This window comes from Homo sapiens, chromosome 19 (assembly GCF_000001405.40).
Source record: "Homo sapiens chromosome 19, GRCh38.p14 Primary Assembly".
Lineage (NCBI taxonomy): Eukaryota > Metazoa > Chordata > Mammalia > Primates > Hominidae > Homo > Homo sapiens.
Window position 1 is genome coordinate 22,964,703 of NC_000019.10, and position 17,704 is coordinate 22,982,406.

Here is a 17,704-nt window from a genome sequence, read left to right on the forward strand (position 1 = left end):
CACAGCAGCACAAGTAAGGCAAGAAAGGCCACGCTTTGACTGCAAACACATCAGTGCCCTTCTAGGGAGAATAAATGTGTGAGCATATTCACTTGAAATTCATGGCATCTTTTGTTCAAGTACAGACTTTCATATGGAAAGTAAAAAAGACAATAATTTCACAGCAATAGCATAAGAAAAGTACTCTAAAAATACCTTCTGACCCATTATTTCTATTTTTCACAAGAATGATTGTGATGGAATGAGCATTTGCAGCACTGTGGTCTTAACCTCCACTTTCTGTTTAATTATTTTTGGAATACGACCATAAGACTTTTGTGCTTTTTTTTTTTTTTAGAAAAAATGTTTTATATTTCTAATTCAGTAATTTAGCATAATTTTTTGTCTCACACTTTCAAAAATAGTTCATTCTGAAAAAAATGATTAAACCACTACTTACCACTTTTTCCCCAAAAAGAGTAGAGTAACAAATGAAGTCTATAAGTCTAGAGTACATTTAATTCATAAATAATAAAGGTGTAATGTGTTTTAGCTGCACACTTGAAAATGAAACACTTTTTGGACTATAGCCCAAGAGTTTTCAGAGAGGTTAGCTTATAACATGTGAGGAGACCTGGTATAGAAACATTCACCCCACGCCTTAAGAGGTGAAAATTTGTCTTTCACTCTTAATTTCAACTATTAACCCAGAGCTGGAAAAATAGAACATTTCATTATACCAAAAACATTTTGTTTTTATTTTATATCTAAGGGGTACATGTGCAGATTTGTAAAACATGTATACTATATGATGTTGAGGTTTGGACACTTAATTATTCCATTGCCCAAGTAGTATACATCATACCTAACCAGATTTTCAATGCTTGTCTCCCTTCCTTCCTCCTTCTCTTTAGAATTCCCAGTGTTTCTTGTTTTCATCTTTGTTTCCATGTGCACCCAATTTTTAGCGTCCATGTATGAGTGAGAACATGTGGCATTTGTTTTTCTGATGCATTAATTTGCTTAGAATGGCCTTCTGCTGCATTCATGTTGCTGCAAAAGATGTTACTTCATGCTCTTCTGTTGCTGCATAGTATTGGAGGTTGTATAAGTACATCATTTTTTCTTAACCAATAAAAGATTCATGGGTAACTGGTTTAATTCTGTTTTTACTATTGTGAATAGTGTTGCAATTAACATGTGAGTGCTGGTGTCTCTTTGGGAAAATTATTTTTTCGGGGCAGATCCCCAGTAATGGGGTTAATTGGTCAAATGGCAATTGTATTTTTAGTTCTTTGAGAAGTTTCCAAACTGCTTTGCACAGGGCTGAATCAATTTGCATTCCCATCAACAGTGTAGAAAGATTTCCTTTTCTCCACAACTTCAAATCTTATCTTGCTTTTAATAACAGTCATTCTTACTGGTGTGAAATGGTATTGCACTGTCACCCTGATTTACATCTTTCTGATAATTAGGAATGTTGAGCAATTTTTATGTTTATTGGTAGCTCTGTCTTCCTTTGAGAAGCTAGCTATTTATATCATTTGCTTTTTTATTAAATGTTTTATAGATTCATATATTAATCCTTTATTTTCTGCAGTTTGCAAATATTTTATTTCATACTGTAGGTCATCTGTTTACTTTGTTGGTAGTTTCTTTTACTGTGCAGAAGCTCTTTGGCTGAATTAGATGCCATTTTCAATTTTTATTTTTGTTGCACTCATGTTAGATGTTAGTCATAAATTCTTTCCAGAGGCCAATATTTTCTAAGTGTTCTCCCAAGATTTTTGTAGCTTGAAGACCCACAGATAAAGTCTTTAATCTGTTATTTTTTTATATAGAAAAAGGTAGTTCAGTTTTCTTCCACATACAACTAACCAGTTTTCCCAGTATTATTTACTGAATAGGGAGTTAATTCCCCTTTTATTTCTGTTGGCTTTGTAAAAATAACCTGGTTGTAAAGTGTAGCTTAGCTCAGGACTCTCTCCTATTTCATTGGTCTATATGTATATTTTTGTACCAGAACCATGTTATACTGGCTACTCTGCTGCAATCTTGGCTCACTGCAACCTCCACCTCCCAGGTTCAAGTAGTTCTCTTGCCTCAGCCTCCCAAGCAGCTGAGATTACAGGCACGCACCACCACACCTGGCTAATTTTTTGTATTTAGTAGACACTGGTTTCACCGTGTTGGCCAGGCTGGTGTCAAACTTCTGACCTCAGGTGATCCATCCACCTTAGCCTCCCAAAGATGACAGGTGTGAGCCATCACGCTCGACACAGATTTATTCTTTTAGTCTGAAGCAGTCTTGGCTATTTGAGCTCTTTAATTCTCTTGTATATATTTTGGAATATTTTCTTTTTCTAATTCTATAAAAAAGCATCATAGATAGTCTGATAAAAATAGCACTTAATCCGTAGGTTGCTTTAGGCAGAATGACCATTTTAACTATATTATTTGAATCCATGAGCATCCAGTATTTTTCCATTTATTTGCATTCTCTCTCATTTCTTTCAGCAATGTTTTGTAGTTCTCTGTAGAGATATTTTACCCCCTTGATTTAATGTATTTCTAGGTATTTTTTTTTGTGGCTATTGTAAATAGAGCTGTTTTTTATTTTGTTCTCAGTTTATTGGTGTACAGAAATTCTATGCATTTGGGTTGATTTTGTATTCTGAGATTTTTTTGAAGTCTTTAGGCTTAGGAGTCTTTCGGTGAAATCTTTAAAGTATTCTTGGTAGAGAATTATATCATCAGTAAAGATAATTTGACTTCGTTTTCTATTCAGATTCCTTTTATTTCTCTGGCTACGACTCCATAACTATGTTCAGTAGGACTGTTTAGAATGGATATTCTTATTTTTATTCTTATGGAGAATGCATCCAGTTTTTGTTTTAGTATCATGTTGGCTAAGGATTTGTCACAGATGACATTATTTTGAGGTATGTTTCATCAGTGTCTAGTGTATTGATAATATTTTTGTCAATATTGCATTTTCTTGGATGCTTTTTCTGCACCTATTGTGTTAAATATTTTTTTCTTTTAATTATCTTTACATGGTGAATCACACTAATTGACTTGCCTATGATGAAACACCTTTGTTTTTATGGAATAAAGCTCACGTGATTGTAGCAAAATAACTTGGATTTGCTTTTGAATTCAGTTTGCTAGAATTTCATGGATTATTGTTCCAATGTTCACCCAGAATATTGACCTGTAGTTTCCTTTTTTTGTTATGTCTTCACTAGATTTTAGTTTCATATATTTCACTGATTTCATATAATTAGTTAGATTGAAATGCCACCTTGATTTTTTGGAATACATTCAGTAGGATTAGGACCAGCTTATCTTTGTATATGTAGTAAAACTTGGCTGTGATTTCATATGATCCAGGGCTTTTTATGGTTAGTAGTTTTATTATTACTTGTTCAAGGTCACTATACATTTTACATTTTTGCTCTGTTAAAGACTTCTGTTATTTTCTGTCAATATTGGGAAGTTTTGTGTATCTGGGAGTTTGTTTTCTCTAAATTTTCTACTTTGCATGCATGTTCATAGAAGTCTCTGAGGATATTTTTAAATCTATGTAGAATTAGATGTGATTTCTCATCTCTAACATTTAAATAAATGCAGAATAAGAGTTTAACAAAATTCAACATTTCTTCATAAATTTCTGAAAAAAGTAGGTATAGGACAAATAAACCTCAAGCCAATAAATGTCACATATAACACACATATAAAAAGCACAGCTAATAACATACTAAACAGGGAAATCTTGTAAGCTTTTACTCTAAGAGCAAGAAGACAAAAATGCCCACTTTTTTCAGTCTTATTAGACATAGTATGAACTATCCAAGACAGAAAAATTAGTAAGTAAAATCAAAGCACTGAGATTAGAAAAAATGTTAAATTATTCCTGTGTAATTTTTCATTTCTATACACAATTTTAAGTAAACAAAAGCCTATTACTAAAAATTAGTAGGACTAATAAACAAATTTATTAAACTTGCAGAATACAAAAGCAACATCCAAGTGTCCATAGAATTTCTATACATTGACAACTATCTTTAAATGAAATTAAAGAAATACACAATTGGAAAAATATTACTTTCATAAGTTGGCATTAATATTGTTAAACATCTGTATTATACAAAATTATGTACAGCTATAATGCAACCTCTACCAAAATACCAGAGACATAACTGACAAATTTTTAAAAATATATCTAAAATTTACAGGATACCAGAAAAGGCCCTGAATAGCCAAAGCAACCAAGCAATAGAAAAAGTGAAGGTATCACTCTACCGGACTGAACTGAAATATACTAAAAAGCTATAGTAAACAAACAAACAAACAAAAAAGTATGGTACTTGAATAAAAACAGACACACAGGCAAGTAGAGAAGAAAAAGGAGACCAGAAATATCTTGATGTTTATATTGATGTATTTACAGCCATCTGATTTTTAAATAAAGGTGGCAATTTCTTAGGGAAAAGGCAGTATCTTCAATAAATGGTGTTGAGAAAACTTTATATCCACATGTAGAGGAATATAATAAGACCCTCAACTCACACCATATATAAACAAATTAGATACTTAAAATAAAAACACAAAATAAATTAGATACTTAAATGTAAGGTCTAAAACTCTGAAACTACTATAAAAAACATAGACTGAAAGCCCTGTAACATTGGTTGGGCAGTCACTTTTAGAATTTGACCTCAAATCCCAAGGAGCAAATTGAAAAAATAGATGAATCAGATTATTTTAAATTTAAAAACTGCTGCACGGAATATAATACAATCAACAGGATGAGGCAACTAAAAAATGGAAGAAAATATTTGCAAATCATAAATGTGACAAGGGATTAATATCAAAACCATATAACAAACTCAAATGACTATACAATAAAAAACAAATATTAAAAATGAGAAAAAGGCTTAAATATTTTTCAGAAAAACACATACATATGACCAACAGATATATTTTAAAAATGCTCAATGTAAATTATTATCAGGAAAGGCAAGCAAAAAAAGAACTATGAGATATCAACTCACTTCTGTTAGAATGACTCTAATTAAGAAGAAAAAGTGTTGGTAGAATTCTGAAGAAAAGAAAATGCTTGCACACTATTTGTTTGAATGTAAGTGAGGACAGCCATTATGAAAAATAGAGTTTTCTTAAAAAACTTAAAAATAGAACTACCATATGACAATTGCACCACTGTATATCCAAAACAAAGGAAATTAGAATGAAGAAACATTTGCACTTCTAGGTTGTTCGCAGCACTCTTCACACGTAAAATACATAAAATCAACAGTTCAACATCTAATGAGTAAATAAAGACAATGTGGTAGATATACACAATGGAATAATATTCATCTTTAAACAACAAAAATTCTATTATTTTCAATCACATGGATTACCCTAGAGGACATTTTATTAGTTGAAATAAGCAAGGCACAGAAAGATTAAATGTCTCATGAGTTCACTTACACATGGATTCTGAAAAAGTTAATCTCATCGATGTAGAGAGTAAAATGGTGACCACCAAATGCCAAGGTATTTAGAAGAAATGGGGGCATTGAAAGATGTCTGTCAAGGAATACATAATTATACTTGGATAAAAGAAATAATTTCAAGAGATTTATTGTACAGCATGGTGACTATAGTTCATAATGTATTTGTATTTTTGAAAAATGCTTACAATTTCATGTGGTCTAACCACAAAAATGTTAACAAGATAAAGCATTAATTACCTAGAACTAAGCATTTGATAATGTATATATACTTCAAAATGTTAACAAAAGAAATACACATTTTATTTGTCAAGTTAAAAATATATTTTTAAGACACTATAGAAGGATAACAATGTTTCAAATACTGTCTGTCTCTTTGCTGTTTTCTCATTTGTCAGTCATAACCATAGGAACTTTGATGTTTAACAGCATGTTCTGAACCCAGCACAGTGCATGGGAGAAGCCAATAACTTTAGGGCTTTTATTTTAAGCTTGGGGCACTTGGAGTTACTGGTGCTTATGGTGATAGTATGAAAGACACGAAAACGGAAGGCTTGCTTATGCTCCCATGACTGGCCACTGTGTGATCACAGTAAACTGGTTTGCATGCAAACTAACAGGAAATGTTTTAATCCAAAAGCTGCCATTATCTCCAAAAGTTTTCAGAGAAAACCTAGGAGATCGCTAGTTAGGTGACTAAGAATATAAACTGTAGACTAAACTTCAACCACTAAAACATTAAAAAAAGAGTGATAAATGTCTCCAAATCGTAATATCAATATGGAAAATAAATATTATTCCAAATGTACAGAGGTCATTTTATTGCTTTGCAACCTTTAACATTCACACTTTAAAACAGAGGATTTTGCATGGAAATGTAAGTTGTGCTGTAAGTACATCCTAAATAAATTTTAAATTGCTCACTTACTATTCTCTTAAAAATTTAATTTTTATGTTTGTTCTAGCAAATTACATATTTGCCACACTTTGTATAAAAACCTAACATTTTTCTTTTACAAAGAAACACCATGCTGATTTAATCCTCTCTTCGGTAGGCAGTGTATGTCTTTTATGTTAATTAGCCAATCTTAAAGTTGTATTCGTATGCAAACCTTCCAGTTAAAACCAATGTTTCAGTACATGAAAAAATACCAATGCTCTCCTTAAAACCTACAACATACCTTGTGAATCACATGGCATGAAAACAACAGTGAGAAAACTGTAGCCATACCACAGAAAAAGAAGGACTGTGATGCATATATGGTTTGAATGCACATAAAAAGACAAAACTTAGATAATTAGGACATGAATGAAGCATTTCTCTTTAAATTCAGCAAGATTCAGCTTTGCAGCCTGGAAAAAATGTTCTCTTCACATGAAGAATCAATGTTATGTCTTTGCAATTGATATTTTCCATCTCTGACTTGAAGTTATAAACTAACTTTAGCAGGAATGTTTATGACAAAATATGGAGCATCTGTTACACACTGAGCACTGTCATGTTTGTTTGCTATATTTATATATAAAAGCATCCACATGACTTATGAAGCTTCCCTAGTACTTACTGAAACAAATTGACTCAATAAATAAAATTTACTTATGTCACTTATAAAAAGGGAACAATAACTTAAGAAAAGTAAGCTTATATAGGGTTCTCCCATAGAAGCTAATGGAATGTTTTAACTAAATAAAATGTAACAATACACAAATTGTGGAATTATATCTAAAAATAATTTTGTGTGCATGATGAAATTTTATAAAAAATATTCTTATAACTCAAATCAGCTCAGATAAATATTTCATAAACTATAAAACAAAAAAATAAGAAACAAAAAGATTGTGGGTCTAGGCCGGGTGTGGTGGCTCACGCCTGTAATCCCAGCACTTTGGGAGGCTGAGATGGGTGGATCACCTGAGGTCAGGAGTTTGAGACCAACCTGGCCAACATAGTGAAACCCCATCTCTACTAAAAATGCAAAAATTAGCTGGGTGTGGTGGCACATGCCTGTAATCCCAGTTACTCAGGAGGCTGAGGCAGGAGAATTGCTTGAGCCCAGGAGGCGGAGGTTGCAGTGAGCCGAGACCACGCTATTGCACTTGAGCCTGGGCAACAAGAACGAAACTTGGTCTAAAAAAAAAAAAAGATTATGGGTCTAGCATGAGTATCATGCAAGTAAAAAAAGAAAATTTTCATGGAAAGATTCTAAATGATAAGCTGTTAGATAGTGTAATAAACTGAATACAAAGCAGAGTATATACATTTGCTTTTAGCATTTTTGAGGATTTTTGTTTTCTAGTAAATTAGACATCTTATTAAAATGCTTTGTTTTGTTTCAATATTGCTCTTTTCTTCTGAAAACAGTTACAAACTTATATTCAAACACCCTTACTCCTTAAACCTGTTATATCTTTAGACTAATAGATGTGTATATTTAACTCTATGTAAGTCAAAACTAAAACTCTATTGTGTGCTCTCAGGCAGAGGCCACGTGTTCAAAAAATACATAAAAAATTTTTGAAAATTATTCAGGACTCAGAAATATATGATTTTATTTACGCTTGTATATAATTTTTATGATGACCATAAAAATAACCATGTAGCCAATAATAATTTAACTGTACAACTTAGAATAACTAAGACTGTAGAATTGAATTGTTTGTAATACAAAACATAAAAGCCAGAGGTTATAGCTACCTTATTTATCACAATGTGATCATTATATAATGTATGACTGTATTAAAATACGCCATATATGACATAAATATATACACATATTATGTAAACACAAAAACTAAGAAAAATAAATTTAAATGTAAAAAAATTTAACCTACAGGAACCATATTCTTTAACTTATTTGTAGTTTAAAGCCACTAAAAAAGAAGAATACTAGAGATGTTAGTCTATTATGTTACCAAATAGTGTATTGTAACCATCTTTTAAATATACCCTTGAGTAAGGTGGAATAGGTTAAAACTAGTGGCATAATAACACTTTATTGAATGTATAACAGTATTTAACATTATAAATGTTGAATTGAAAAATTAACACAATCCAAAACTTTAAAAAAAAGTGGTTTTATCACATAAAAGTACAATTAGTAAAATGACATACTAATTATTTTGATTTAATTTTAACTATAAGAATGATTTTCTCTCATAATAACGCATTAGAATATTACTTAGGGCTGGGCACAGTAGCTCACACCTATAATCACAGCACTTTGAGAAGCCAAGGCAGGCAGATCACTTGAGGTCAAGAGTTCAAGAACAGCCTGGCCAACATGGTGAAACCTTGTTTTACTAAAATAGAAATATTAGCTGGATGTGGTCAGGGGCAACTGTAATCTCAGCTACTTGGGAGGTGGAGACAGGAGCATAGCTTGAACCTGGGAGGAGGAGCTTATAGTGAGCCGAGATTATGCCACTGCACTCCAGCCTGGGCAACAGAGTGAGATTCCCTCTCAAAAAAAAAAAAAAAAAAAAAAAAAAAAGAATATTACTCGGAATGCCCTACATCACTCAATTCTGTAAGTTAACCACAAACAGCCTTTCCACTTAAATTTTCATCATGCATCTTACATTTCAATGTCCTTAGTCATCCATAAGGTAATAAATAACGACCGCCTAATAAAGTCTCCCAAATCTTTGATGCAGAATTGATCACATTTTTTTTACATGTGAATACAACAGAAATGAAAAAAAGGCGTGAAGTAATTTAAGAGTTGAATTCCATCATTATTCAGTTTCCAAATAAGCTGTTTTTTTTTTCTTTTGAGACAGAGTCTTGCTCTGTCACCCAGGCTGCAATGCAGTAGCAGCATCTCAGCTTACTGCAACCTCTGGCTCCCAGGTTCAAGTGATTCTCATGCCTCAGCCTCCCAAGTAGCCGGGACTACAGATGTACACCACCATGCTTCGCTAATTTTTTTTATTTCCTTTTAGTAGACATGGGGTTTCACCAAGTTGGCCAGGCTGGTCTTGAACTCAGGTGATCTACCCACCTCGGCATCCCAAAGTGTTGGCCTTACAGATGTAAGCCACTGTGTCTGACAAAAAAAAATCTGTATTTTCAAGACAAAAGTGTACTTTAAATGAAATTATAACTCTTCAAAGATCTACTTCTTTTAAAGTTACATACAAATAATTTTTCTTTTTACCAACTTTAGTTTTGGATTTTTTCCTATACTCAGCAATCTGATTAAGTGTAATGTCTGAAGTTTGAGACAGATATTTCTACTGTGAATTCTCTGATATTTACTTAATTTTGGATTAAAATTTTTTAATATTTACTTCATCTGCAAACATATATTTTAGTATAAACTTTCGTGTTTTATAATCTGTAGTTTTTGAAAAAATGTTTTTCCAAATTCATTAAATTTGCAGGGTTATTCTTCAATATAAATTCCCTGATGTTGAGCAAAGTTGGAACAACTACCTCAGGGTTTTCCTGTAGTACAAAATGTGTACAATAAAACCTGTGATACACGTAAAGGTACTACAACTCTCTTTATATTTATAATGTGTTTCCTCAAAATAAATATTCTTCTGTACTTTAAGGGCTTATATTTTCTGAAAGATCTATTGACAGCAACTGCACTTTTAATGCTTTTATTTAGTATGAACTCTCTGATGCTGAATAAGATGTGAGAAGATATTAATGACATTCACATTTTTTCCCCTAGACAGTCTCCCTCTGTTGCCCAGGCTAGTGTAAATGCTTTCCTTTGCAATTAGGCATGAGCATTGGTTAAATGTTTTGCCACATTGTTTATTCTAGTAGTTTTCTCCAGTATGAGATATCTTACCTACAATCAAGTGTGACAGCCATTTAAAGGCTTTGTCACATTCTTCACATTTCTAGGATTTCTCACCAGTATGATTTCTTTTATATTCAGAAAAGTTTCAGGTGTTGCCAAAAGCCTTGTCACATCTTTCAGGTTTGCAGTTTCTCTCTAGTATGAATTAGCTTATGTCTGTTAAGAATTGAGGATCTGTTAGAGGCTTTCCCACATTCTTCACACGTGTATGGTTTCTCTCCAGTATGAGTTGTCTTGTACGTAGTAAGCCTTAAGGACTGATTAAAGGCTTTGCCACATTCCACACAATTGTAGGAATTCCCTCCAGTATGAATTACCTTATGTTTAGTAAGGATTGAGGAACAGTTAAAAAATTTGCCACATTCTTCACATTTGTAGGGTTTCCCTCCTGTATAAATACCCTTATGTTCAGTAAGGGTTAAGAACTAATTGAAAGCTTTGCCACATTTTTCACATTTGTAGGGTTTTTCCTCCAGTATGAATTCTCTTATGAGTAGTAAGGTGTGAGGATTGGTTGAAGTCTTTACCACATTCTTCACATTTGTAGAATTTCTTTCCAGCATGAATTTTCTTATGTTTGTTAAGGACTGAGACCCAGCTAAAGGCTTTGCCACATTCTTCACATTTGTAGGGTTTCTCTCCAGTATGAATTCTCTTATGTTCACTAAGTCTTGAGGACCAGATGAAGGCTTTGCCACATTCTTCACATTTGTATTGTTTCTCTCCAGTATGAATTACCTTATGTTTAGTAAGGTTTGCAACCTTACTGAAGGCTTTGCCACATTCTTCACATTTGTAGGGTTTCTCTCCAGTATGAATTCTCTTATGTTCCATAAGGTTTGAGGACCACTTAAAGGCTTTGCCACATTCTTCACATTTGTAGAGTTTCTCTCCAGCATGAATTGCCTTATGTGTAGTAAGGCTTGAGGACCAGCTGAAGACTTTGCCACATTCTTCACATTTGTAGTGTTTCTCTCCAGTATGAATTACTTTATGTTTAGTAAGGCTCGAAAATGTAGTAAAGGCTTTGCCACATTCTTCACATTTGTAGGGTTTCTCTCCAGTATGAATTATCTTATGTTTAGTAAGTGTTGAGGACCACTTAAAGGTTTTGCCACATTCTTCACATTTGTAAGGTTTGTCTCCAGCATGAATTCTCTTGTGTTCAGTAAGGCTTGAGGGCCAGCTGAAGGCTTTGCCACATTCTTCACATTTGTAGGGTTTCTCTCCAGTATGAATTACCTTATGTTTAGTAAGGGTTGAGAAGTTACCAAAGGCTTTGCCACATTCTTCACATTTGCAGGGCTTCTCTCCAGTATGAATTCTCTTATGTTCCATAAGGTTTGAGGACCGGTTGAAAGCTTTGCCACATTCTTCACATTTGTAGGGTTTCTCTCCAGCATGAATTGTCTTATGTGCAGTAAGGGTTGAGGCCTTACTAAAGGCTTTGCCACATTCTTCACATTTGTAGGGTTTCTCTCCAGCATGACTTCTCTTATGTTCAATAAGGCTTGAGGACCGGGTGAAGGCTTTGCCACATTCTTCACATTTGTAATGTTTCTCTCCAGTATGAATTACCTTATGCTTAGTAAGGATTGAGAACTTACTAAAGGCTTTGCCACATTCTTCACATTTGCAGGGTTTCTCTCCAGTATGAATTCTCTTATAAGTAAGGGCTGAGGACCAGTTAAAGGCTTTGCCATGTTCTTCACTTTTGTAGGAATTCTCTCTAGTATAAATTCTTTTATGTTGAGATAGGTGTGAAAGCATGCAAAATGATCTGACATATTCTTTACATTTCAAAAGTTTCTTTCCAGTATGCCTTATCTTATGTCTTTTTGAATTTGAACATTTATGAAAGATGTTTGCATATTTGCCACATTGAAATACTTTGCTTTGTGTAGTTGTCAAACTCTGGTTAAGCTTATTATAACCTTTTTTGTGCACCTTACACTCATCCACATTGGTACAACCAATTTTTAACTGTAAATTCTCATGTCCACATTTTTCATATCTTCTCAATATCACTTTTTGGAAAGAATCTTCTCTGCCCTGCTCTGGCCAAAGGTCTTGAGCAAAATGAGAACATATAACTGAAAAGAAATAAAAATAACAAATTAGTCCACTTATTAGATAAATATAGTTTCCAAATTTAACCTATAAAATTATTCAAACTACATAAGCAAGATGACACTGCAGTATGACACAGGCCCTAATTCTTCACAGACATATAAATGTAATAAAAGCATACAGACCAAAATACATATGTAGATAATTTATACATGAGTTAAGTGTGTACAGTGTCTGAATTAAGCCCAATGCAAAGAGCCACATAGAAAAAAAGAAAAGTTTGTTAAATTTACCCAATCAACTCTTTCTGCTCCTCAATATTACCTAGTCCCTTCAGAAGTAAATTGTCAACTTCTGTTTTTTTTTCTAAAGGCAAGTAAAATATTGGCACATACAATTTAATTTCTGTCTTCTATGGGCCTTTCCACACACTGGTTTCTGTCTCCCATGACATAAAGTGCTGAAAGATATGGTGGTATACTTAGAAATGACAGTTTGAGTCTGTTGAGACCAAAGATAAATACAATGCAGCAGAGCACTGCAGTGCTGCAAAGAGAGAAAAGGTGTAACAAGTAACTACTTTTCAGAAGAAACATAAATAATCTCTTTTAACTAAAGGTAAGCACAAAATTTCAGACAAGACAAATCTGAAGATGTTTGAGAGACCCACATAATCTCTAGCCAAGACCATTGTTTTCTGACTACACCAGGACAAAGCTATATTATAAATTTTTAAATGTCCAAATCTCAAAGATTACAATCTATACAAAATAGGGCAATATAATCCCATCAAAAATATTATAAAATTTTCAGAAAGAAACCATTAAAAATGTATATACTAATTTTAAAGATTGAATAATACTCTGAGTGAAATAGGAACACAAAAGACTATAGAAAATCAGAAAAATGAGGATAAGAACAAAAATATCTACATTGTGGTGATAAAAAATACAAAAAGAAATAACTGATTCTAAAATTAAGATAAAATAATGTAAAAATAAAAAACAAGATCAAAAAGCAAATTAGGATACACACAAATACATTTATAACAAAAACATATTTATAATCACAATTTGAACAGTTACAGACAAAAAGAGAATCTTAGGAGCTGCAAGATAAAAGTGATTTGCAAACATAGTCTTATGAGATAACCAGTGAATTGTCAACAAAAGATTTACAGGCCAGAAGAGAACTGTGTGAGATAGTCAAAGTCCTAAAAAAAAAAAAAAAATAGCTATCAAGTGAGAATAATACCAAATCAGCAAATCTGTCCTAATAGAAAAAAAACCTTTCAAAATAATCAAATTCACAAAAAGTATATCGGCACTGCATATGTCTTCCATAGGAAAGATGCTGAAAGCAGTTCTTACCACTGAAAATAACGTAACATAAAAAAACAACACCTAGCGTTTGAGCTCTGCTAAGGGTCAGACTGCCACCTCAAGTGGGTCCCTGACACCCATGTCTCCTAATTGGGAGGCACCTCCCAGTAGAAGCTGACAGACACCTCATACAGGAGAGCTCTGGCTGGCATCTGGCGGGTGGCCTGTGGGACGAAGCTTCCAGAGGAATGAATGGGCAGCAATCTTTGCTGTTCTGTAGCCTCAGCTGGTGATACCCAGGAAAACAGGGTCTGGAGTGGACCTCCAGCAAGCTCCAGCACATCTGCAGCAGAGGGGCCTGACTGTTAAAAGAAAAACTAACAAACAGAAAGGAACAGAAGCAACATCTACAAAAAGGATGTTTACTCAGAACCCCATCTGAAGGTCATCAACATCAAAGACCAAAGGTAGATAAATCCATAAAGATGGGGAGAAGCCAGTGTAAAAAGGCTGAAAATTCCAAAAACCAGAATGCCTTTTCTCCTACAAAGGATCACAACTCCTCACCAGCAAACAAACAAAACTGAACAGAGAATGAGTTTGACAAATTGACAGAAGTAGTCTTCAGAGGTGGGTGGGTAATAACAAACTCCTCCGAGCTAAAGGAGCATGCTCTAACCCAATGCCAGGAAGCTAAGAACCTTGAAAAGAGGTTAGACGAATTGCTAACAGGAAGAACCAGTTTAGAGAAGAACATAAATCACCTGATGGAGATGAAAAACACAGCATGAGAACTTCGTGATACATGCAAAAGTATCAATAGCTGAATCGATAAAGTGGAAGAAAGGATATCAGAGACTGAAGATCAACTTAATGAAATAAAGCAAGAAGACAAGATTAGAGAAAAAAAGAATAAAAAGAAATGAACAAAGCCTCCAAGAAATATGGGACTATGTGAAAAGACCAAATCTACATTTGATCGGGGTACCTGAAAGTGATGGGGAGAATGGAACCAAGTTGGAAAACACTCTTCAGGATATCATCCAGGAGAACATCCCCAACCTAGCAAGACAGGCCAACATTCAAAGTCAGGAAATACAGAGAACACCACAAAGATACTACTCGAGAAGAGCAACCCCAAGACACATAATTGTCAGATTCACCAAGGTTGAAATGAAGAAAAAATGTTGAGGGCAGCCAGAGAGAAAGGTCGAGATACCCAAATGGAAGCCCATCAGACTAAAAGTGGATCTCTCTGCAGAAACCCTACAAGCCAGAAGAGACTGGGAGCCAATATTCAACATTCTTAAAGAAAGGAATTTCAACCCAGAATTTAATATCCAGCCAAACTAAGCTTCATAAGTGAAGGAGAAATAAAATCCTTTACAGACAAGCAAATGCTGAGATTTTGTCACCAGCAGGCCTGCCTTACAAGAGCTCCTGAAGGAAGCACTAAACATACAAAGGAACGACTGGTACCAGCCACTGCAAAAACATACCAAATTGTAAAGACCATCAACACTATGAAGAAACTGCATCAACTAATGGGCAAAATAACCAGCTAGCATCATAATGACAGGATGAAATTCACACATAACAACATTAACCTTAAATGTAAATGGGCTAAATGCCCCCAATTAAAAGACACAGACTAGCAAATTGAATAGAGTCAAGATCCATCTAAGTGCTGTATTCAAGAGACCCATCTCATGTGCAAAGACATACATAGACTCAAAATAAATGGATAGAGGAATAGTTACCAAGCAAATGGAAAGCAAAAAAAAAAAAGAAACAAAAAAAAAAAAAACAGGGGTTGCAATCCTAGTCTCTGATAAAACAGACTTTAAACCAACAAAGATCAAAAGAGACAAAGATGGGCATTACATAATGGTAAAGGGGTCAATGCAACAAGAAGAGCTAACTATCCTAAATATGTATGCACCCAATACAGGAGCACCTAGAATCATAAAGCAAGTTCTTAGGGATCTACAAAGAGACTTAGATTCCCACACTATAATAGTGGGAGACTTTAACACCCCACTGTCAATATTAGCCCCATCAATGAGACAGAACACTAACAAGGATATTCAGGATGTGAACTCAGCTCTGGACCAAGCAGACCTAACAGACATCTACAGAACTCTTTACCCCAAATCAACAGAATATACATTCTTCTCAACACCACATCACACTTATTCTAAAACTGACCACATAATTGGAAGTAAAACACTCCTCAGCAAATGTAAAAGAATGGAAATCGTAACAGTCTCTCAGACCACAGTGCAATCAAATTAGAACTCAGGATTAAGAAACTCACCCAAAACCACACAACATGGAAACGGAACAACCTGCTCCTGAATGACTACAGGGTAAATAACAAAATGAAAGCAGAAATAAAAAAGTTCTTTGAAACCAATGAGAACAAAGACACAACATACCAGAATCTCTGGGACACAGACAAAGCAGTGCCTAGAGGAAAATTCACAGCACTAAATGCCCACGAGAGAAAGCAGGAAAGATCTAAAATAGACATGCTAAAATCACAATTAAAAGAACTGGAGAAGCAAGAACAAATAAATTCAAACCCTAGCAGAAGATAACAAATAACTAAGAACAGAGCAGAACAGAAGGAGAGACAGACACAAAATACCCTTCAAAAAAAAAAAAATTCAATGAATCCAGGGGCTGATTTTTTGAAAAGATCAACAAATAGATAAGACTGCTAGCCAGTCTAATAAAGAAGAAAGGAGAGAATCAAATAGATGCAATCAAAAATAATAAAGGGGACATCAGCACTGATTCCACAGAAATACAAACTACCATCAGAGAATACTATAAACATCTCTAAGCAAATAAACTAGAAAATCTAGAAGAAATGAATAAATTCCTGGACACATGCACCCTTCCAAGTCTAAATCAGGAAGAAGTCAGATCCCTGAATAGGCCAATAACAAGTTCTAAAATTTAGGCAGTAATTATTAGCCCATCAATAAAAAATGTCCAGGACCTGATGGATTCACAGCTGAATTCTACCAGAGGTACAAAGAAGAGCTGATCCTATTCTTTCTGAAACTATTCCAAACAATACAAAAGGAGGGAAGCCTCCCTAACTTTGTATCAGGCCAGCATCATCCTGATACAAAAACCTGGCAGAGACACAACAACAACAGAAAAATTTCAGTCCAATATCCCTGATGAACATGGATGCAAAAATCCTCAATAAAATACTTGCAAACTGAATCCAGCAGCACATCAAAAAGCTTATCCACCACGATCAAGTTGGCTTCATCCCTGGGATGCAAGGCTGGTTCAACATATGCAAATCAATAAACGTAATCCATCACATAAACAGGAACCAATGATAAAAACCACATGATTATCTCAATAGATGCAGAAAAGGCCTTCGACAAAATTCAATACCCCTTCATGCTAAAAACTCTCAATAAACTAGGTATTGATGGAACGTATCTCAAAATAATAAGAGCTATTTATGACAAACCCACAGACAATGTCATACTGAATGGCCAAAAACCAGAAGCACTCCCTTTGAAAACCGGCACAAGACAAGGATGCCCTCCCTCACCACTCCCATTCAACATAGTATTGGAAGTTCTGGTGAGGGCAATCAGGCAAGAAAAAGAAATAAAAGGTATTCAAATAGGAAAAGAGGAAGTCACACTTTCTCTATCTGCAGATGACATGATTTAGAAAACCCCATTGTCTCAGCCCAAAATCTCTTTAAGCTGATAAGCAACTTCAGCAAAGTCTCAGGACACAAAATCAATGTGCAAAAATCACAAGCATTCCTATACACCAATAATAGAGAGCCAAATCATGACTGAGCTCCCATTCACAATTGCTACAAAGAGAATAAAATACCTAGGAATACAACTTCCAAGGGATGTGAAGGACCTCTTCAAGGAGAACTACAAACCACTGCTCAAGAAAATAAGAGAGGACACAAACAAATGGAAGAACATTACATGCTCATGGATAG

The 17,704-nt window shown here is 34.2% G+C and overlaps 1 protein-coding gene and 1 pseudogene across 1 annotated transcript in view; both read right to left on the reverse strand.

The window, feature by feature from the left end:
* VN1R89P (vomeronasal 1 receptor 89 pseudogene) lies at window positions 5,820-6,214 on the reverse strand (annotated as a pseudogene).
* Window positions 10,181-17,704, reverse strand: part of ZNF728 (zinc finger protein 728) — a 28,294-nt gene continuing 20,770 nt past the window's right edge. The window contains exon 4 of the mRNA NM_001267716.2: window positions 10,181-12,408. Within this exon, the coding sequence (NP_001254645.1) occupies window positions 10,766-12,408 (1,643 nt within the window). The 3' untranslated portion in view covers window positions 10,181-10,765. The remainder of the gene's footprint in view (window positions 12,409-17,704) is intronic.